The following is a 22,648-nucleotide window of genomic DNA, read 5'->3' on the forward strand; positions in this document are numbered from 1 at the left end:
ACTTAATTTTTATCCTGCTGAATGAACACATTTTAAGTTAGTGATTTTAGTGGAAACAGGAGCAGGACAGAATGTAATAATTAGCTCTCGCTCTGTCACCCCAACTGGAGTGCAGTGGCATGATCATAGCTACTGCAGCCTCAAACTTCTGGGCTCAAGTGATTTTCCCACCTCAGCCTCCCAAGTAGCTCTAGGACTACAGGTGTGTGCCGCCAAGCCCAGCTAATTTTTAAATTTTCTTTGTAGAGATATGAATTCGCTATGCTGCCCAGGCTGGTCTTTAACTCCTGACTTACCCCACCTTAGCTTGCCAATATGCTGGGAGTACGGGCGTGAACTACTGCTCCCGGCCAAGAGCTTACTTTGGTTTGCTAGCAAGGTTCTTGGTATCTTTTTATATTTGAGGCTTTCGTGCTAGTGCTGAAGTATTACACTCACCATCTGAGGTTTACAGGACTTTTGTTTTAATATTGAACCGAGGGAACTGTTTAGTTTTGCATCTTTGCAGGTATACAAAATGTGCCTACCAGGACTCTGCTTTATATCCATTGAAAAGCAAGAAGTAATACAGTAAAAGTTTGCCTGGCTACAGGCTTTGGAAGAATGGAGTATTCTGGTTTAATTCTATTAACTTGGAAGGATGAAGGTGGAAAAAATTCAAACCTTTAATTTCCTGTTGAATGCAATTTGAAAATATAGCCAATGAGTCCACTTTTCTTCTCTAGTAAGTTTGGACATTCAGATCTACTTGGTCTTTTATCATAGAACTCCTAGTGCGCCTGAGTCTTACGTTGTGAAAATCCTTTTCTAAAACTTTAGATGTAAGAGGATAGAAATGATATTGGATGAGATCAGGCTGGATGAGAACTGATACCTGTAGATATATTTTTTAGATGAAATCTCTGATTGCCACACGTTTTCTTATTGAACTCATAAAAATAAAACACACTGGCTGGAGGGTGGAAGTAGGAAGGAGATTTATGTCTTTTAATTGCATGTCATTGTTTCATATTGAGACAGAACATATAGTATCCCTGGCTTTGGACCTACAGAAGGAAACACATTTTTCTACCTGCTGTATGGCAGAGGTTCCTGAGCACCTGGAGGGATTATTGCAGCACGGATTGCTGGGCCCTACTGCAGAGTTTCTGATTCATTCATGTCTAGGGTGGGGCCTGAGAATTTACATTTATAAGAAGTTCCCAGGTGCTCCTGGTCCGGAGACTACATGTTTGAGAGCCACCCTTACATACTAACTGTAAATTGTAGAACTCTAGAAAAAAGCGTAGTTTGGACTGGGAGAAGAAGCACACAGGTAATGGAGCAAATCATGAAAAAGTCAACCCTTGATCCCAGGTAACAAGCAATACACAGTGACATAACACAATTCTTGGTTTTCATGATTGCAAGTCATAGCCAAGTATCGAGTGAGAAATTCAGTTTCATTTTCAGGGCTTAGAGGCCAGGTGATTCTAGAAAAATCGGATTTAGTGATTAACTCATGAGAGTAGGAGTTATTTATGTCCTTTTTCTCTCCCCCATCACTTAGCATTTAGCCTTACTTTAGAAGGGTCCTGTATTTGCTTTAACCTTGTAAAGAACTTTGAGTGCTTATTAAATGGAAAGCCTTGTGTGTGTGTGTGTGTGTGTGTGTGTGTGTCTGTGCGTGTGTGTGTGTGTGTGTGTGTGTATTTAGAGACAGAGTCACATTCTGTAGCAGCCCAGGCTGAAGTGCAGTGGCATGATTTTGGCTCACTGCAACCTCTGCCTCACAGGTTCAAGGGATTCTCCTGCCTCAGCCTCCCAAGTAGCTAGGATTACAGGCACCTGCCACCATGCCCAGCTACTTTTGTATTTTTAGTAGAGACAGGATTTCATCATGTTGGCCAGGCTGGTCTTGAACTCCTGAATTCGGGTGATCCACCCGCCCCAGCCTCCCAAAGTGCTGGGATTACAGGCATGAGCCATCATGCCTGGCTCAAAGCTTTGTATTTTTAAAGATATTAGACATGTTTCTTGTTTGTTTGTTTTTTTTAAAAAAACTAAACGCTAATGTAGGAGAATAAGAGAAAGTTTTTCCAAAAAAGAGAAAACATTGTGATTATCTTATTGGAATGTTGGATAATAAAGTCTGCTTTATCAATCATCAAGCACACTATAAAATTTCCATTTTAATAGGACTTGTACCTCAATTGAGGTAATAAAGTTTTAAAGTTTTTAAAGTGAAAGCCAGCCCCGCCCCTCTCCTGGAGTGGGCGGGGACAGCGGTTGCATAGGCAGCTTTCCTTGTGACAACACAGGTCCTTGATGACACGCTGCTGTCTGGCCACACCTCCTTTTCCTTTCATCTTTCTCATTGACCAATGGGCTTCAAGCATGAAGGCCACACCCCTATTCTGCATTCTAGTGCAGCCCTGGTTACGCCTCCTCTGGCTCAGTCACACAGCGACGTAGAGGTGACTGGAGGTATATACTTGTCCTCACCTGGATCATGCTGATGTGGCCCCAACCCCACCTCCCTACCCATCCCCACCTCCCTACCCATCCCCACCTCCCTACCCATCCCCACCTCCCTACCCATCCTATGATGTCCAAAGAAACCAGACAGAGCAAATTGGCCGAGGCCAAGGAACAGGTAAACGCACCAACACCCCAACCCAACCCGAGGCCCCCTCTGACAGCCGAACTGCTGCCAGAGTCTGTGCCACTCCTGAGGGACACCAGGCTGGGCCCCCCACCCCAGTGCCTCTGGGCTCCCCACACCAAAATCTTGTCAGCCAGCCCAACCCCCTCATAAGTCCTGCCCCTGCTCTGCCCGGCACACCAGGGTGACTTTGAGCAGGTGACTCCTGGGGCTTCCAACTCCATACTCCGCCCTTACCTCCTGCTACCCCAAACCCGACCTCCCTGGGCTCCTTGAGCTCACAGCTCCAAGGACCTGGGTGCCCCAGAACCTGCCCTCACCAGTTGCCACAGGGTGACTTTGGGGATGTGACTCCTGGAGCTCCTTGCTCCTTAATTGGCCCTCACCTCCTGCCGCCCCAAGCCTGACCTCCCGGGGCTCTTTGGGGTCACGTCTCCAAGGACCTGGCTCCCAATTTTGTGACCCCCTCCCCAGTCTCAAAGCGGCAACTTGGGCATTGCACTCATGTGTCCCCCCCAACCACTCCACCGAGGAGTAGAATGTAGTGATGTCACAGTCCCGCTACAAACTGTCATTACTACCACAAGACCGGCCTTTGGTCTTAGGACCCAGTCCCCTAAGTGTTCTTGCCCACTTCTGTTTCCTCTGGTTGCAGCACAGGTTTCCAGCTGGAAGGGGAATGGGGACTGTGGGACCTAGAAGAGAGAGGTTTCAGGCTGCCTGACTTCCTTACCACAGACCTTGACAGTGTGAAAAGCCTACACCTCCCCCATGAGCTCAACACGTTGACAGTGTCTCTGGGTGGCAATGGGAGAACGGGTTTGGTTTGGTTTTCTCCCAGGCTTCTACTCTCCAGAGAGATTTTAACATTTTTTCTCAGTTCTGCACCTCAGATTTGAATTCTCCATTGTTCTGGGACCAGAGTGCCCCTCAGTCACTGGTTCTGGAGTGAGATCTGCTTATCTTCTGTGGAACAGATCTTGGGAAACTGAACTTAGCTTGAGTCTTCCTCATCTCATCTCAACCTGGGGTACTTTGAGTGCCACAGGATAAATATGGGGCATCTTTCTGAAGCATCAGTTTCCCTTGATTCTATTGAGAGACAAAACATTAATGTACTTAGGGATGAAAGTCACATAGATTTATAAGCGTATACAAGACTTCTCTCTGAAATGAGGCTTGGGTTGTCCTCTTTCTGTTAAATTCCCAGATTTAGCAGAAAGGCTGCCTTCTGCCATGAGGAGACATTGATGTAAAGGTTTGAGAGGTACTGGTGTACTTTTTAACACTAACAGACGTGTGAGGGTGAATAACCCTAAACCACATAGTGCACAGTTCCTGCCTACTTAATATTTGCTTTTCTACCTCTGCCTCTGGTTTTGGTCCCTGGCAGCTGCTGATTTAGGGCAAAATCCCAGAGCTCAGAGTCAGAAGACTGAGTTTAAGTTCCATTACTGCCTTTTTTTTCAGCCATGGTATCAATCTCTCTCAGTCACTAAGTGATTGTGACAACATTTCCTACAGTTGGTGGCATTAAATCAGATGGTCTATAAGAGTATTTAGTATAAACTGTAAAGCAGGATGTGACTGTAGGAGCTTGTAGTTCTCATGAGTATCACTGCTCTTCCTTTCCACAGTTGACAGACCATCATCCCCAGACCAACCCTAGTGTTGGTACAGCAGCAAGCGACACCAAAAAGAAGAAAATAAATAATGGCACTAACCCTGAGACAACCACTTCTGGTGGTTGCCACTCGCCTGAGGATGTGAGTCTTGGCTGGCCGGGCTCCTGGGGACAGAGGGCCCAAGGGGTGGTGGAGGGTAATTGTTAAGATTGTGGAAGAACTGCCAGGTACTGGCTAAGAATTCTGGGTTTGAATCCTACCCCTCCATCTGCTAGGGATATGATTTAGCGCAAATTGCTTGAGCTCTTTGGGCCTCTCTTTTCACATCCGTAAAATACGAGTGGTATTGTTTTCCTTACATTTGTGAAGTTTAAATGAGATTTGTCATTGTGTTTTTATGTTAATCCCTCGTCCAGGACCTGCTGTAAACTCTCCTTCTTGGGCTTGCGTTTCCTGAGGTAGAGTTAGAGAGTATCAGAGGTTTCTGTTAGCTCTGAGAGCCCGAGAGTTAAAGGCCCACTAGAATGGAAACCTCGGGGCCAAGGGCTCCTGTCTGCCTTTTCTGACCTCTATTCCCGCTGTGAAGAACCGTCCCTGGCCCGTATGTGCTCAACGTTTGCTGAGTGAATGCACCTTTCTAAATCACAAGCTGGCGGAAGGGTGGGCTTTTCTCGCACTCCACCTCTGAAGGTTTCTGTTACTGTCTTTTCAAGAGAATCTAGTTTCAGACTTTGAGTTCTGTGGCTGTGGGCAAAAACCAAAAAGACCCAAATCCCTCTTCTTTGGGAGTTGAGGAGAGTTGACCAGTTCATGTTCCCATTGGGTCTGAGAACTGTGCCTTTTAAATCCATTCCTGGCCCCTGCCTATCGCTTCCTGGCCTGGGGAATAGAGTCAAGGGGGCCACCCTCAGTCACCTTCCTTTGACTCTCCCCACAGAAACAATAGAACCGAGCTCAGCTGGAAGAAGTCGTGTGATTTCTTTGCTCACGACATGACCGCTGGGTTTGGGGGCACTCAGATGTAGAGGCCCCAGGCTCATCTCACCCACTCCCAGCCTGGGGAAGAGGGCTCACCCCCAAGATTCCACCCCATCCCCACAGGGTCCCTGATAAACTGGTCCCATGGGTGGGCCTGTTCTGGGGCAGTGGTGCCATTCTGGGGGCATGTCTCTTGCTGTGGATCTCTGCCTCCCCCTAGTAAGAGCTCTGTTTTCCTCTTTCTATAGGAACAGAAGGCAAGCCACCAACATCAGGAAGCCCTAAGGAGGGAGCTAGAGGTGAGTGGAGGGTGTGAAGTTCCCTCCTGCCCTCTGGAGAATGTTTCTTTGCTTCTCTTTCAGCATTTGCTTGTCTTTTCTCCCAAAGGCCCAGGTTCATACCATACGAATCCTTACATGTCAGAAAACTGAGCTTCAGATGGCACTCTACTACAGCCAGCATGCTGTCAAGCAGTTGGAAGGTGGGAATCTGGCACCCCATCATCCTTCAACCTGGCACTTTGACAGGCCTTTAGGGGGAGTCCTTTGGGCCACATCTGAATGTCTCTCATTCCAGGAGAGGCCAGGGATCTGATCAGCCGCCTGCATGATTCATGGAAGTTTGCAGGAGAGTTAGAGCAGGCTCTCTCTGCTGTCGCTACACAGAAGAAGAAGGCGGATAGGGTGAGTCCAAACACGGCCCCGTCCCTTGGGAGCCCAGCTTCGCAGATGGAGGAGTGAGCCTAAAGGTCCCTTCTGTAGGATGGAGTGTCCTGCCCAGAAGGCAGCATGGCCATTTCTTGCTGCTTTTGTGTGTGGTTGTTAGAGGCAGACTGGGGCTGAGTCGGCTGTTGTGGGTGAGTTGGGGAGCACTGTGAGGAGCGAGCACTGGACATAGATCTCAGAGGCCAAGTGCCCGCCCTGCCCATACTTGGCTGTGGCCTTGGCCAAGTCCTAAGTGGCGGTTAGGGTACTTGTACCATAAAGGTACAGAAGAGTATCTTGAGTATGTTATTATTTGTGTGGAGAGAGGGGGCAGGTGTATATGTGTGTGTGTGTACGTATTATGGTAACATACATAAAACACGTTTGTAAGGATTCATTAAAAAACTCAGGATAGAGGCACAGTGTTGGGGGGAGATATTTCCCTTCTGGACTTTCTGAGTTTTGGACTATGCGAACGTATCATCCTTTCAAAAATTCAACAAAGGATTAATTTCCTCCTTCTTAACTGTGCCCCTACCTCCAGCGGAAGAATGGGCTTAGAGAATCAGATATACCTGGGTGTTGAAATCCCAGCTCCAAGTGATCTTAGGCAGCACTTAACCTTTAATACTGCATGTTTTTCATCTACACAATAGAGGTAATAATGGTAACCGTCTCCTATGGAGGTTGTGAGGATTAAATGGGATTGTTAGCATAGTGCCTGGTGAAGCACCCAATAAAGGCTCCAACAGTGGTAGTAATAACAGTAATAACAATAACAATATTATCTGATCGCTCTGGGCCCCTGTTAGCCAGCCCTAAATTCAATCTCTTTCCCTGTCCCTTCCACATCCACTGAGTTCTTTGAAAAACAAATGAGGGCCAGGTGCTCTCGCTCACGCCTGTAATGCCAGCACTTTGGGAGGCTGAGGTGGGCGGATCACCTGCGGTCAGGAGTTCAAGACTAGACTGACCAACACGAAGAAACCCCGTCTCTACTAAAAATACAAAATTAGCCCGGTGTGGTGGCACATGCCTGTAATCCCAACTACTCGGGAAGCTGAGGCAGGAGAATTGCTTGAACCCAGGAGGTGTAGGTTGTGGTGAGCTGAGATTGTGCCATTGCACTCCAGTGAGGGCAACAAGAATGAAACTCTGCCAAAAAAAAAAAAAGAAAGAAAGAAAGAAAAACAAATGAGACCATGGGCTTGGAAATGCCTTGAGAACACGTCAGGTGTGATTGAGAGTGAGGAAGTGTTACTGTGGAGTAGTCACTGTAGCAGTTGTTCCTGGTCGTCCAGCTACTGCTGTGCCTGCTCTATCCTGACTTAACCTTTCTCTATTTGCAGTACATTGAGGAGTTAACAAAGGAGAGGGACGCCCTGAGTCTGGAACTGTACAGGAACACGTAGGATGGGGGAAGGTGGAATGGGAGGTCTGGGGGCCCTTAGCATGGGTGGTGTGCTGGGAGGTGGGGGGTCCAGGTGAGTGTGGGGAGAGGCTCATACATGTTTTCATGTGTGCACACGGAAACTCTAGTGCTGGCTGTGCCACTGACTCATGGGGTAGCCTCAGGCAACTCATGTCTTCTCTCTGGCCTGCCACCTGGGACTTTTAATTCCTGGGGTCCCTTCCAGCGCCACGGTTCTGTGGTTGTGGGGCGAGGGTAGGGGGTCAATCACCAAAGTGGTCTTTTATGTTCTTCATTCATTCCTTTCTCTACTGCCTCTGGCCATAGCATAACTGATGAGGAGCTGAAGGAGAAAAATGCCAAACTACAAGAAAAACTTCAACTTGTAGAATCTGAAAAGTCTGAGATCCAGCTCAACGTAAAGGAGCTAAAAAGGAAACTGGAGAGGGCCAAGCTCCTGCTGCCACAGGTGAGCAGCTGCAGCCCCGGGGGTTGTGGGAGACCCATCCAGCTGGGACCATGGTCTAGGGATCATGCAGGGTATGGGGAGGCTCCAGCCAAGAGCTGGAAAATTTGGGTCCTTGTTCTGGCCCCGCCATAGAATCCTCTAGAGTGTACTAAAAATGTACAAATTGGGGCCCTGCCTGGGGAATCAGAATCTCAAGAGTTAGGGCTTAAAAATATTTTTTTAAAGGATCATGGATGAAAACCATTATTTTATAGATTACATTTATTTATTTATTTATTTATTTATTTATTTATTTATTTGAGAAGTAGTCTCACTCTGTCACCCAGGCCAGAGTGCAGTGGCGCAATCTCGGCTCACTGCAAGCTCCACCCCCCGGCTTCACGCCATTCTCCTGCCTCAGCCTCCCAAGTAGCTGGGACTACAGGTGCCCACCACCACACCCAGCTAATTTTTTGTATTTTTAGTAGAGACGGGGTTTCACTGTGTTAACCAGGATGGTCTCGATCTCCTGACCTCGTGATCCGCCCACCTCGGCCTCCCAAAGTGCTGGGATTACAGGCGTGAGCCACCGCGCCCAGCCTATAGATTACATTTATGTGGCTAGCTCATGATTCTGCTTCCTTCTGAGGTTCAAAAAAACACTTTCACTATTCCAGCAGCAGCTGCAGGCGGAGGCTGACCACCTGGGTAAGGAGCTGCAGAGTGTGTCAGCAAAGCTCCAAGCCCAGGTGGAAGAGAACGAGTTGTGGAACCGCCTGAACCAGCAACAGGAGGAGAAGATGTGGAGGCAGGAGGAGAAGATACAGGAGCGGGAGGAGAAGATACAGGAGCAGGAGGAGAAGATACGGGAGCAGGAGGAGAAGATGCGGAGGCAGGAGGAGATGATGTGGGAGAAGGAGGAGAAGATGCGGAGGCAGGAGGAGATGATGTGGGAGAAGGAGGAGAAGATACGGGAGCTGGAAGAGAAGATGCACGAGCAGGAGAAGATACGGGAGCAGGAAGAGAAGAGGCAGGAGGAGGAGAAGATACGCGAGCAGGAGAAGAGGCAGGAGCAGGAGGCGAAGATGTGGAGGCAGGAGGAGAAGATACGGGAGCAGGAAGAGAAGATACGGGAGCAGGAGAAAAAGATGTGGAGGCAGGAGGAGAAGATTCACGAGCAGGAGAAGATACGGGAGGAGGAGAAGAGGCAGGAGCAGGAGGAGATGTGGAGGCAGGAGGAGAAGATAAGGGAGCAGGAGGAGATATGGAGGCAAAAGGAGAAGATGCACGAGCAGGAGGAGAAGATACGGAAGCAGGAGGAGAAGGTGTGGAGGCAGGAGGAGAAGATGCACGACCAGGAGGAGAAGATACGGGAGCAGGAGGAGAAGGTGTGGAGGCAGGAGGAGAAGATACGGGAGCAGGAGGAGAAGATGTGGAGGCAGGAGGAGAAGATACGGGAGCAGGAGGAGATGTGGAGGGAGGAAGAGAAGATGCATGAGCAGGAGAAGATATGGGAGGAGGAGAAGAGGCAGGAGCAGGAGGATAAGATGTGGAGGCAGGAGGAGAAGATACGGGAGCAGGAGGAGAAGGTGTGGAGGCAGGAGGAGAAGATACGGGAGCAGGAGGAAAAGAGGCAGGAGCAGGAGGAGAAGATGTGGAAGCAGGAGGAGAAGATAAGGGAGCAGGAGGAGAAGATACGGGAGCAGGAGAAGATACGGGAGCAGGAGGAGAAGATACGAGAGCAGGAGGAGATGATGCAGGAACAGGAAGAGAAGATGGGGGAGCAGGAAGAGAAGATGCAAGAACAGGAGAAGATGCGGAGGCAGGAGGAGAAGATAAGGGAGCAGGAGGAGAAGATACGGGAGCAGAAGGAGAAGATACGGGAGCAGGAGGAGAAGATATGGGAGCAGGAGGAGAAGATACGAGAGCAGGAGGAGATGATGCAGGAACAGGAAGAGAAGATGGGGGAGCAGGAGGAGAAGATGTGGGAGCAGGAAGAGGAGATGCAAGAACAGGAGGAGAAGATGCGGAGGCAGGAGGAGAAGATAAGGGAGCAGGAGAAGAAGATACGGGAGCAGGAGGAGAAGATACGAGAGCAGGAGGAGATGATGCAGGAACAGGAAGAGAAGATGGGGGAGCAGGAGGGGAAGATGTGTGAGCAGGAAGCGAAGATGCAAGAACAGGAGGAGAAGATGCGGAGGCAGGAGGAGAAGATAAGGGAGCAGGAGAAGAAGATACGGGAGCAGGAGGAGAAGATACGAGAGCAGGAGGAGATGATGCAGGAACAGGAAGAGAAGATGTGGGAGCAGGAGGAGAAGATGTGTGAGCAGGAAGAGAAGATGCAAGAACAGGAGGAGAAGATGCGGAGGCAGGAGGAGAAGATGCGGGAGCAGGAAGTGAGGCTGCGGCAGCAGGAGGAGAAGATGCAGGAACACTAGGTGAGGCTGCAGGAGCTGGAGGAGAGGCTGGGGAAGCTGGGGCAGAAGGCCGAGCTCTTGGGGGGAGCAGGCGGAGGTGTGTGCAAACCCTGGAGATCATACAGAACGACCTCACCACAACTTAGCAGATGGTGGTTGGCTCCCTCTGCTTTTCCACCAGTCTGTGGCCTACAGTTTAAATGGTGGGAAGAAGGGTGTGAGATTTGAGGCTGGGGAGGGAGGCATGGGCCTCTAGGCAAGGGAGGCAGTCATTTAGGCCTGGAGGAAGGGGCCAGGGCCAGGGGCCTGGGTAGGCGACAGAGCCCCGCAGTGCCCTCACTACCCTGTTTATGGGCCCAGAATCTGGAAGCCAGCCACTACCTACCCTGACGCCTATCCTGCAGGTGGAGCTGAAGAGCCAAGAGGCTGAGTCTGCAGCAGCAGCGAGACCATTACCTGGGTCACCTGCAGCAGTACGTGGCCGCCTATCAGCAGCTGGCCTCTGAGAAGGAGGCACTGCCCAGCTGCAGCAGCAGGAAGCTCAGGGCGAAGCGGTGGCCGAGATGGCCCACCGATAGTTGCAGGAGACCCGGTTGAGGGAGTTGATGAGGGCGGGGCCCCAAGGGGGATGATCTGGCAACCTCCGTGCCTTCTCACTCTCTTTCCTGGCCCCTTAGGAGCACCTGGAAGCTGCCATCTAATGAGCACATGACAAGAAGGCAAAGACAATAAACATGTAAAAGCCGGCAGCAAGGCCTGGAGAAGAGTAAGCCGCCATGTGACTGTTTAGAATATAGTCTGAGCACAAACCTGAAAAAAAAATTTTATTTATTTTAAATTGTGGCAAAATACTGGCCAGGCATGGTAGCTCACGCCTGTAATCCTAGCAATTTGGGAGGCCGAGGTAAATGGATGACCTGAGGTCAAGAGTTCAAGACCAGCCTGGCCAATACAAAAATTAGCCGGGCATGGTGGCGCATGCCTGTAATCCCAGCTACTTGGGAGGCTGAGGCAGGAGAATCGCTTGAACCTGGGAGGCAGAGGTTGCAGTGAGCTGAGATCGTGCCACTGCACTCAAGCCTGGGTGACAGAGCGAAACTCCGTCTCAAAAAAAAAAGTTTCTTCCTTACATGTATGTTTCTATTAGTTTTCTTCTTGGTCTTTCTCATTTAGTCTTGTGTTGTCTTTTGGCATTCATAGTAAACTTTTATCTGCCTCCAGAGAGTATTGACTTTGAGTTTATGGCACACAATTGGAGTAAGGGCAGATCGCCTTCATCTACTTCGGGACTAAGCTGGTTCAAAGCAGGTTTTAGGTTTTCTGATGGCTGGTCTATGTTTTATTCATTTGGACTCCCAGGGGTGGCCCTTCCAGGGTCCCCACCAAGGTCCCATCTCCCTCCTGGGACCCAAATTCTCATTAGGTCATTTCAGCCCTGTGAGAGTGCCAAACATTCAGCTAGGCTCTCCAGCCTCTTAACTACCACTTCATACTCAGTTTCTTAGCCTCTTAGCCCTCTACTGTTGACCAATCACCAAATGTGGGAAAGCACTACAGACTGTCAGGATCACCTCCTAGGCCTGGTCACTCAAGTCCTGACTGAGGTCTCCAATTACCTTCCAACAATTGTTTTTGATTGGGGGCGGGGCACATTTTTATCCAGTTTTTCTAACTGCTCTTGCGGGGAGGCGAATCTGTAACAAGCTCCTCTGCCTTTATTGAAAGTTGAAAACCTTCATCTGTCCTTTTTTTGTTGTTGTTGAGATGGAGTCTTGCGCTGTTGCCCAGGCTCTAGTGCAATGGCACGATCTCTGCTCACTGTAACCTCTGCCTCCTGGGTTCAAGCAATTCTCCTGCCTCAGCTTCCCGAGTAGCGTGTGCCACCATGCCTGGCTAATTTTTTTTTATACCTTTAATAGAGGCAGGATTTCACCATGTTTTCCAGGCTGGTCTCGAGCTCCTGACTCAGGTGATCTACCTGCCTCAGCCTCCCAAAGTGCTGGGATTACAAGTATGAGCCACTGCATCCGGCCCATCTGTCTTTTAAAACATGTTTTTAATTGGAGGTATAATTTCTATTAGTGAAATGCACAGGTCTGGTTTACATTTTGATGAGTTTTAACTCATTTAACATTACTATGGAACCCACCTCCTTTGAAGATACAGAGTATTTCTATCATCCAGAAAGTTCTCCTGTGCTTTCATGCTGTCCCGCACTCCCCCAGCAGCTGATGAACATGCTGAGGACATTGGTACTGGATTCTGGCCGCCCCAAAAGAGCCGCTTTGACCAGGCTTACCCAGCACTAAATCCCTGCCTGCTCTCTCAAAATTTCCATCTTTAAACTGGTTGTACCTATAACCCTCCCTCATCAAGTCAATAGATAAACAAACCCTGAAAAATAAACAACTCTTCCTGGCCCAGCAGCCCACAGCCTAATATTTACTGTATTCCCAGGCTTTCAGAAATGTAACTCGCCTGCCGGTTCACCCTCACTAGGGCGGCAGCTGCACGGGAGCAGCTGGGCTCACCCATTAAGCAAGAAGCCAATAGCTGGACAGTGACACTCAGACCCCAGGCTGGGCGAGCCTGGCTGAAAGCCCCCTTCTTTCCATCCGACTGTGGAGAAAGGGGGCGGAGCACACACAACTCTACTGCCCTCCACATCCTTCACCCGTGCTTCCTCCTGGGAGAGGGAGCCGCTCATTAATTTGGCCAAAGCCTTCTTGAGGGCTGTAGGTTTCACAGGCTGGGTGTGTGGGGGCCACCGTGCTAGAGACAGAGGCTGGTGTGTCAGAAGGTAGCCACCTGGCCAGAGGGGGGTCAACCCCCTTGGTGACCTCCTTCCCCCGGCTGGACACAGTGCCCTGCACTCTCTACATGTGACTGTTCCCCTCAGAGCTGCTTCCAGGGGAGGGGTTCTAATCCTGTGGGTGGGGACATTGTGTTACTTTACAGTGGGCCATGGCTCCCTCTGACATCTCCAACTCAGAGGCAGTAGAGAGAAGATGAGAAATTCCCTGCCCCTCCTCCCTCAGCACCCCCACCTCTGCACATGTCCACATGTGGAGACCCTGACAATGGGCCCTGGGAGTGCCGCCATCTGTGCCTGCTTTCCATGCCTGCAGCAGCCATGCCCACTCTCCAGACCCTCACCCGCCTGGGTCAGTAGACGCTTCACTGCCTGTGGTCCTGCGCCTACACCTGGGCCTCTGTACCCGTCAGTTCCCCCAGTCTGGTTCTTATTCCCTGCAAAGAGTAGGGAGCCTATAAGGTCACCTGTTGAGCAAGCTGGGGGAGAGAGTAGGGTGGGGCTGGGAGGATGAGGAGGAGAAGCTCATGGTCGTGCTGGAGACTCAGCTGAGCAGAGTCTATGCAGGCCCATTGGCTGCCTAGCCAGTGGTGATCTCGCTCCCACCCTCATTTCTTCTTTGTTAACAAAACCATGACCTCATTAAATACTGGACACCTATAAACCTCATGGACCCTCCTCCAGCCTCCCCACCGTGTACCGGTGAGTCTAAGTCAACTCTAGTCATTTCATTCCTCTGGACATTGACTGCTTAGGGCTTGGGCATGAGCTTCCTCTTCACCTGAGCCTGAGCCACAGGTACCCTCTGCACCTACCACGCTGATGCACTGGGCCAGGGAGAGCGCCGTCTGGATGGAGATGAGCTGTGAGGAGCTGGTGGCTGGGCGGATCAGGTTGTTGTAACAGGTTTTGTTCAGAAGGTCGTCCATCAGTTTCTGCTCGGCATGGGCCATGCGGCAGTCCCCTGGGTAAACACACAGACATGCTGGGCCCTTGTGCAGCTGTCTCCCACTGCAGCTGACAGCTATGAAGCAGGAGCTGAGAGGGCCAGGGAGCACAGACACCCTGAGAGCTGGCTGAAGCACTGAAGGTGCTGGCCGGCCTGGCTCTCCCTGGGGACTTCAAATGACATTCACGACAGAGCTCAGCTACCTCCTCCCCATGCCATACCTCTTCCTCCTCCTCCTCCCTCCGTCAATGAACAGCATCCCACGCTCTACACATCTGATACAAAACTGGGTGTCTCTTCCTGACTCCTCCCTTGGTTCACCCAAGTGGCCACCAAGTCCTGTCTGTCCTCCCATCTCCACGGCTACAGCCATGTCCCTGCCTCCCCCGCCCTGCCCACCTTCTATTCTCTCCACCCACACTCTGCCCGTGCCATCCATGTGCCATACAGTGGCAGACTGGTCTTTCTACAGCAAACTGGACTTGGGCCCTTCCCTACCCACAGCTCTCAGAGCTGGAGGTGGAGTTGAAGCTCATGTTTTGGCTTGGCATTCAGAGCTCTTTCCCCCTCAGCACTGGCTTATCCAGAGTGCTCACAGTGCAGGGCAGGAGCCTCGTGACTCAAATGTGGGTTTGGTGCAGAACTGGGTCTGAGGTGGTGCTTTCCCTGTGAAGAGACAGGGCCGACATGGGGGAATTTTCTGGGTTCAAAGTTAGACCTACAGAGTGCAAAGTTTCTCTGAGGCACCAAATGGAGGGGTCCAGCTAGCAGCTGGCTCCTGGTCTGGAGCTTCAAGGAGAGGTCTCAGCTCAGAGCCACATTCAATAGCCAGCTTACATGTGGCCTCCTGCAGGGAGCCCCTGGAGCTTCCACAGCCTCCGTTCTGCCCCTCTGCATACCCCAGATCTCCTGCTAAGTGGCGTTTGGGTCTTCATGTCATCTCCCTCCCATGTCTGGGAGTAAAGGTGAGGTGCAGGGACTTGCGCTTGTGTACTCTGGTGTCTTAAGGGAGAGTGTGTCAAGTAGAGTGGAGGCGGCTTGGAAAGAGGGAGACTCAGAGGAGAGTGAAGGACACATGACCAGGCGAGCCTGGGAGCAGGAAAAGAGAGTGAGCAGAGGCAACTGCTGGGTCAGGGGAGCGGATGGGAGGATCAGGGAATGCGGGGGGGCTGGAGAGGTAGGGGTGGGGATGTTGGCGAGGGGCTGCCTGGCTCGCCAGGCTCAGGAGTCAGTTACATCCTCCCACAAGGGCCAGCTCACCTGGTCGCCCCAAAGACCTCCCTCTGTGGGTGGGACCAGAGGGCCAAGAGCACGGATAACCCAATTGAGCAGGACTGAGGCGGACTCAGGTGGGTGCTGGGCCGGACTCCTGGCTGTGGGGAGCAGCCGCCACCCTGCCTATTGCATCCACTTTCCAACTCGCTGCCTATCTGAGCAGATGCGATATTGGGCACCTTGTGAAACATGCTCCTGGTGCACCTGCTGCCTGCTGCCCCTCCTGCAGAGTGCCCGGGCTCTCCAGAGGGGATTCCTATGGAGGCTTGGCCTAGATTCTGAGTCCTGCCTCTCATACCTGGGGCTGCTACCCCAGAGGCCAGCTGCTTGAGTACCCCGGAAGCCAGTCTGTAGCCCCAGGCTACAGCTGGGTCCATCCCACAGCCCTTCTCTAATGTACCTATTTGGACTGGCTGCTCATTTCATAGAGAGGGGTGTGTCTTGCCCCAGACCATCTGGCATGTCTAAGGCAGCTGTGGGGTCAGAATCTGCAGCTCCCAGCCCTCAGCCCAGCAATAGTAGGAAAGGCTGGACCCCACATCTCTGAAGTCCCACTGGGTGGGTGTGAGCGGGCTCCCGAGTACAGGGCTGCTCTGCAGGCTGTGGGGCTCATGCGCCAGCTCTGAGCCCACCTGATGTGCTCACGTTGCTCACCTTTGGGCCTGTCCTGCCTCTCAGGCATTCGGCTGACCCTGAGGGCCTCTCCCTCATCTTGACCACCAGCTACGGGCTCTGATTTAGAGGTTCCCAGAACCTTAGACCATTTGGCCGGCCCCCCATTTCTCACCTGAGGAAACTGAGACCAGAGAGGGATAGCAACTTTCTCAAGGACCCCCAGCAATTCAGAGGCAGAACCAGGTCTAGGAGCCTCTTCTCGATAGAGGTTCCCCCTGTCCCCTGAGCCTTCGTTAGTGCCTCATTAACTTCCCTGTAAGGAAACTGCCCCGCTGAGGCTGGAAATGGTGCTGTCCAGAGTGGTGTGTGCCAGTGACTGTGCTTGTGTTTGTACTTGTGAGTGTGTATGGGGGTGGGGATGAGGGGTGGGAATAAACGGCAGGGATGCTGGGGGCTGGATGCACTCCACCTCACCCCAAAAAGGGGCACAGCAGAGCCCAGCCAAGCACAGCACATGCTTCGACTTTCCAATCTGCTGAATGCCTGTGAGGCCGGCTGGGCCCAGAAGACAAGGGACAGGCCTTTCCCCATAGATGGCAGGGGGGACCCAGGATGGGTGGAAGCTTCTGCCGCAGCTTTGGGGGTCACAACCCAGCCCATGGGCTGACACTTAAGCAGAAAAGCCACCTCTAGGGGTCAGTCATAATCTAGTGATTCTGATGAGGAGGGCCCCACCAACCTCTGTCCAGGGTCTTGTCTGGGAAAAACTGCTCCCTGGCAGAAAGAGGCTAATAATTTGAGAGGAAGCCATAGCTGAAACCCTAAGCTGTGTGAGTGTGTGTCCAGTTTGAGAAAGCATATCCGACTTAAACATTTGTATTGAAAAAATGGAAACATATTCCCCTTGTTTTGGAATACAAACTGCAGAAAGCAGCAGTTAACAGAATCTTATCGGAAAGGTCAGACTCTGCATCTGGAAAGGCACAGTGATTTTCAACTGCAGTGTGTGTCCTTAACTGAGGAAGGGAAGGTGAGATTTATGTTTAGTAAAAGGCAGCTATGAATTTACCTTTTATAAAGAGCTTGCTATATACTATTAGTGCTTTTCAGTCATGTCAGAATCAGCCAGATGCCTGTGGAAATGCAAATTCCCAGGCTTCATTCCCAGAGATTCTGGTCCTGTGAGCCTAGGGTGGGGCCCAGAAATCTCTATGGGGTGGTGCAGCCTGCCCCAGGACCACACCAAGAAACACTGCAACTGGCCCACACACATCCCAGTCCACAAATATGTAGGCAGGCATCTTATCTCCACAGAACAGATAGGGAAACTGAGGTCAGAGTGGGGAAAGAAACGTCATGGGGCCACCCAGCAAGTAGTAGCAGAGCCACGATACACCCACTGCCTGCAGACACCATCTCTGATGACAGCTCCACCTCCCCACAGGAATCTTGCCTACCCCCACCCCTACCTCCTGCTGCCCCTATGGTGGGTCTCTGTCCAAGGAAGATGTATCCTAGGTCCTCTAGGCTGACTGCGGCTCAGAGGAAACCTTGGCCCAGAGTGTAGGAGCTAGAGGGGTCCTTGGAATTCACGTGGGGAATTTGAGGCCCAAAGAAGGCAGCCCTCACATTTGAACTCTGTCTGGAGAAGGGCTAGGTCTTCTTCCTGAGTGGTAGTTTTGACTTCACCAGCCTGGCCCTCAGTCAAGCTGGCTGTCCAGGCCCGCCACACCTCGGGGTGGGTGACCAGAGGCGGTGGTGCCATAAAAACACGTTTCCTGGGAGATCCACCCCCAAAGCTCCAAACATTCCAGGGCTGGTGATTTGGGGAAGCCCCCTTCCCTCTCAGCCCAGTTTCCCCATCTCTGCAACAGCCGTGCTGGTGGAGACTTCTGATACTGAGCTGCAGATTTTCTCCTGGGTGCCTACACAGCCCAGGTTGCCGGCTCCTCTGTGCCCACTCTTCAAGAAAGTCAGCTCTTAGGTAAGGAAGGTGCCTTGGCCCTATCAGGAGCAGGAGCCGGTGCACCCCCAGCTTCCCAGACCAGTGGGGATGACCCAGGCTGCCTACAAAGCTGCTGCCCAGCCCGGAGACACCCGCCTGGGAGGGTGGCCCTGGCCCTTGCAGCGGCTCTGAGAAGAGTCGGCCCCCACTCCAAAACTGGCAGAGCCACCCATGCCTTCCCTCAGCCCAAAGAGGCTTTTAGGAAAATGAATCGTCTCAAGTTCAAACCCATGGGGTTGCTGAAAGACAAGACAGTGCAGGGTGAGCTGGTGCGAGGGAGCGCTGCTCGGTGCAGACTTTGCAGGGAGGGCACTTAGGAAAAAGGACTGGAGTCTGGGAGGGTTAACTAGCTTAGGGTTAAAGGGAGGGGATGGAGCTGGAGTGAGCTGGCCTCGTCCTCCCCCTTGGGCCTTCCAGCCTGAGCTCAGGTGATTCAAGGGAGCAAGCACCTCCCTCTCCCAGCCAGGGAGTTCTCGCCACATTCTGCAATCAGTACCATTCCCCTGGGGGCTGGGTGACAGCCCCCACCTCTGGACCTGGCTGGAACTGCTGTCTCAATTCTAGATCCAAAAGAATCTCTGGCAGCTTCTCCATCTCCCTCTCAGTCCAGCCTCACCTCTTCGCCCGTGGAGGAGCTCCAACAGCAAATCTGGCAACTGGAGGAACAAGGCAGGAAGGGCAGGGTCTGAGGAAGGAACCACCTTCAAAAGGCAGCTCTGCCACCTTCTCTCCAGGACTCTCAGGCTTGCTTTCCTATTGCTCCCTCGACATCCTTTTGCTATAATCTGCCATGTTGACGTATAGTCTTTAAAAGCAACAATGCTGTTGACGTGGAGCAGACTTCCCATTTGGGATGGTTTGGAGAAGTTAGGTTTGAGGGCATCCTCTCTTCTGCAAACTGCAGCAGTAATAGATGAGATATACAAAGTAAATAAAGGCTGGGTGCGGTGGTCGTGCCTGTAATCCCAGCACTCTGGGAGGCTGAGGCAGGAGGATCACTTGAAGCCAGGAGTTCGAGACCAGCCTGGCCAATATGGCGACACCCTGTCTCTACTAAAAATGTAAAAATTAGCTGGGCATAGTGGTGCACACCTGTAGTCCCAGCTACTCAGGAGGCTGAGGCAGGAGAATCACTTGAACCCGGGAGGCAGAGGCTGCAGTGAAATGAGATCCCGCCACTGCATTCCAGCCTGGGCGACAGAGTGAGACTCCATCTCAAAAAATAAAAATAAAAAATAAAGTAAATAAAAAAGACATGCCCAGGCTGAAAAATAAGTTAATTATCTCCATGAACGAAAAGCAGACAAGAAATGCAAAGTGGTTGGAGGCTGAAGAGCCTGGACCCTCCTGGGCTTTGGGAACCAAAGATGGTGGCAAGTCCTTTGGGATAAAGAGGGACAAAATGACTCCTAGCTAGAAGCTGGGAGCTTGGGTGTACCCCAGTACTTGAAAGGATGCTAGCTGGGCGCGGTGGCTAATGCCTGTAATACCAGCACTTTGGGAGGCCGAGGGAAAGTAACTCTTATGTCAGTGTGAAGCAAATCAGACAGGACAGGGGAACATGGAGGGGAGGAGAGCCAAACCAGGGCCTGGTTCCAGACCCACCACACCTGCCCCGTTGAGCCAGGAGCACAGGTGGCTCTCTGCACAACATCAAGAGCGAGGACATGCTTTCAGCTCCACTTTAACTCAGGTTCCTAATGTGACAGCAGGCTTGTCAATCCCACTTGCCCCCGTGTCTCACACCAGAAAACTACCAGCAGCATGAGTAAGGACAGAAGCAGGAGACAGAGGAGCCAGGGTTGGGGAATCCCATAGCAACCCACAGGCCCTCATCACACACGGCAAGGATGCGCCTTCACTGGGCTCACCACCACCAGACATCACCTTCACTACATGATACCCTGCCTGGATAACACCACTGTAACACAAGAAACAGGTCTAGAATCTAGCATGTATGCTACACCTGAAGGAGCAAGAGACGGTAATACAATACAATGAAATTTTTAGTTTATTTAATATAAAATTTAGAGCCATAATCAAAATGTGTAATTCTGATGGGATTCACTACTTATAAAAACTTTGCAGCGCTCTATTTTCAAATGTAAATGGTATTCTGTGGCTCCTCGCCAGCAAGTAAATAACGATCTACTCTGAAATACGTTTCACGGCTTATTTTTGGCAAGCAGCGATTTCTCCAACTCACGTTTTCCAAGGGAAAAAAGGACGTGAAATGTCTCCAAAAGTCTCTTACGATCTTTAGATAAACTACTGTTCAACAACTGCATCTGCCAAGTCAACACATCAAGAATCCTTCACTCACAAACACTTAAGGTGAGAAAACAGTGTCTACCCATGCGGGAGAGGGACACATGATCCATGCTTATGAAGACAGCCTGGATATCGGCTACTGGAAAGCTGCGAATGCATTTTTCTTTTTCTACTTTCCAAAATTTTTGTGAGGTGATACTTATTTCTATGTTTGTGTCTATTCTTTCTATTTTGTATTTTTTAGTAGGTACATCCTTACTATAAATCTGCTGTAGAACCAATGTCCCATACAGGACCCCACGTGCCACAGGAACCAAAAAGTCACACGCAGCGAAGACGAAGACACAGGAGACAACCTGTGTGGACAGCACAGAGCCACCTGCCCAGGACACCAATGGAGCCACAGGTGCAATTCAGAATGTTCTTAGTCGTATTAATAAACATGGCCAGGTGCGGTGGCTCACGCCGGTAATCCCAACACTTTGGGAGGCTGAGGTGGGCAGATTACCTGAGTTTGGGAGTTCAAGACCGTCCTGGCCAACATGGTGAAACCCCATCTCTACTAAAAATACAAAAATCAGCCAGGTATGGTGGCATGCTTCTGTTAGTCCCAGCCACTCAGGAGGTTGAGGCAGGAGAATCATTTGAACCCAGGAGGCAGAGGCTGCAGTGAGCTGAGATCGTGCTACTGCACTCCAGTCCAGGCAACAGAGTGAGGATCCATCTCCGGGTGGGGAAAAAAAATTGTTCTTAGTCACATTAACAAAAGTAAAAAAAAAAAACAAAAAACACCAACAAGAAAAACAACAACACATAAAATTAATTGTAATAATGGCTGGTTGCAGTGGCTCATGCCTGTAATCCCAGCACTCTGGGAAGCCAAAGCGGGCAGATTACTTGAGGTCAGGAGTTCGAGACCAGCCTGGCCAACATGGTGAAACTCTGTCTCTACAAAAATACAAAAATCAGCCAGGCGTGGTGGTAGTCCCAGCTGCTCGGGAGTCTGTAGTCCTGTAGTCCCAGCTGCTCAGGAGGCTGAGGCAGGAGAATCACTTGAACCCAAGAGGCGGAGGTTGCAGTGAGCCAAGATTGCACCACTGCACTCCGGTCTGGTCAACAGAGTAAGATTCCATCTTAAAAAATAAAAATAATTTTAATAATGTATCATAGTTATTCCAACAGATCAAAAATATGACCATTTCAACATGAAATCAATCTAAGAAAAATTATTGAGATATTTTACATAGGTTATTTCATATTAAGTCCTCAAAAACCATCTGAGTAGCTTACATATGTAACACATTTCAATTTGGACAGTGAAATTTGCATTGAAAACATCTGATCTCCATTTAGACTCATAAAATACACAGTTGACAAAGTAGACTCCCAAGGCCAAGTGATTCTAAACATACTTAAGTGCTTTCTAATAACAGAATCAAATTTTCAAACCTGCATTTTAATGAATAAAAATTAAACAGATAAAATATTCAGTGTCTCAGCTATGACGGACAGACTTCAAGTGCTGATCAGCAAACGGTGTTGAGTGTAGCCAGATGGGCCAGCGCAGGCTACACAGCTGCAGCTCAAACAGCACAGCTGCAGGTCAAACAGGCCAGTCTCTCTGCGCACGGGAACAGTCTGGGCAAGCAGGAGACGGGGAAAACGGGCACTGCCCTCGTGAGAACAAAGGACCCACAACAGGAACCCTGCACTCACCCCCTGCCAAAGACCAACAGCCCCACGAAGCAGCCACTTCAGAAAAGGGAGAGGCATTCAAGAACTTAGAAAAGCACCTCTGGAAAATGCTCACTTTAAAACTTTGCATGTAACTGTACATTTTAATTACAAGGTTTTTAACATCCATTTTCTCATGTATTCTTAATTAACTCTGTGAAAGTAAACACAGCTTTTATTCTTACTCCTATAGTTACTGTGTTGGAAGTCCACCTATATGAACAAACTGTTGTAACTGAAATTTTCTGAGAACAAATCCCAAGCTCTTTCCATCGACACAAACTATATTGTTTAGTTCTCTTTATTTCCATTTGTTAAAGACCAGAATGTGTGAAATATGCATTATCAGATTAGAAAAACAAAACAAACATCAGAAAAAGGTTTTGCAAAATAGCATTTACTAAAATCTATGACAGAAACTAGCTCTAAAACTTCCTGTTTCAAAATTTCACTGTGTGTGCACTAAGTTAGTTTTGCTGGCTGTGGACAGCAGGCCCACCCCATGCCGCGGGCCCACCCCACGCCGCGGGCCCACCCCACGCCGCGGGCCCACCCCACGCCACGGGCCCACCCCACGCCACAGACCCACCATGGCCCCATGAACAGGCCAGCTGAGAGCTGCAGCCACTGCCCAGGGCTCCCTGGTCTGTACTCGGCTGCCTGACCCAAGCTGCCAGGGCTCTGCTTTCTCTATGTGTAGAAACAAAAACCAGGAGCATCAGTTGACGAAAAGCAGATTTTTATTGAACAGAGGTATAAA

At 50.5% G+C, this 22,648-nt stretch overlaps 1 protein-coding gene and 1 pseudogene across 1 annotated transcript; one reads left to right on the forward strand and one right to left on the reverse strand.

The window, feature by feature from the left end:
• The first annotated feature begins 2,436 nt into the window (after positions 1–2,436).
• On the forward strand, positions 2,437–12,648 carry GOLGA6L25 (golgin A6 family like 25). Its single transcript, NM_001365373.2, has 9 exons — positions 2,437–2,635; positions 4,282–4,410; positions 5,496–5,546; positions 5,635–5,728; positions 5,824–5,930; positions 7,301–7,359; positions 7,690–7,831; positions 8,488–10,248; positions 10,905–12,648. Exons 1-8 carry the CDS (start codon positions 2,498–2,500, stop codon positions 10,246–10,248), a joined length of 2,481 nt encoding a protein of 826 aa, NP_001352302.2. The 5' UTR covers positions 2,437–2,497; the 3' UTR covers positions 10,905–12,648.
• Positions 12,649–14,821: 2,173 nt separating this feature from the next.
• Positions 14,822–18,731, reverse strand: LOC105369220 (pectinesterase inhibitor 10-like; annotated as a pseudogene).
• Between the last annotated feature and the right edge of the window lie 3,917 nt (positions 18,732–22,648).

The sequence above is a fragment of the Homo sapiens genome, chromosome 15 (assembly GCF_000001405.40).
Source record: "Homo sapiens chromosome 15, GRCh38.p14 Primary Assembly".
NCBI lineage: Eukaryota > Metazoa > Chordata > Mammalia > Primates > Hominidae > Homo > Homo sapiens.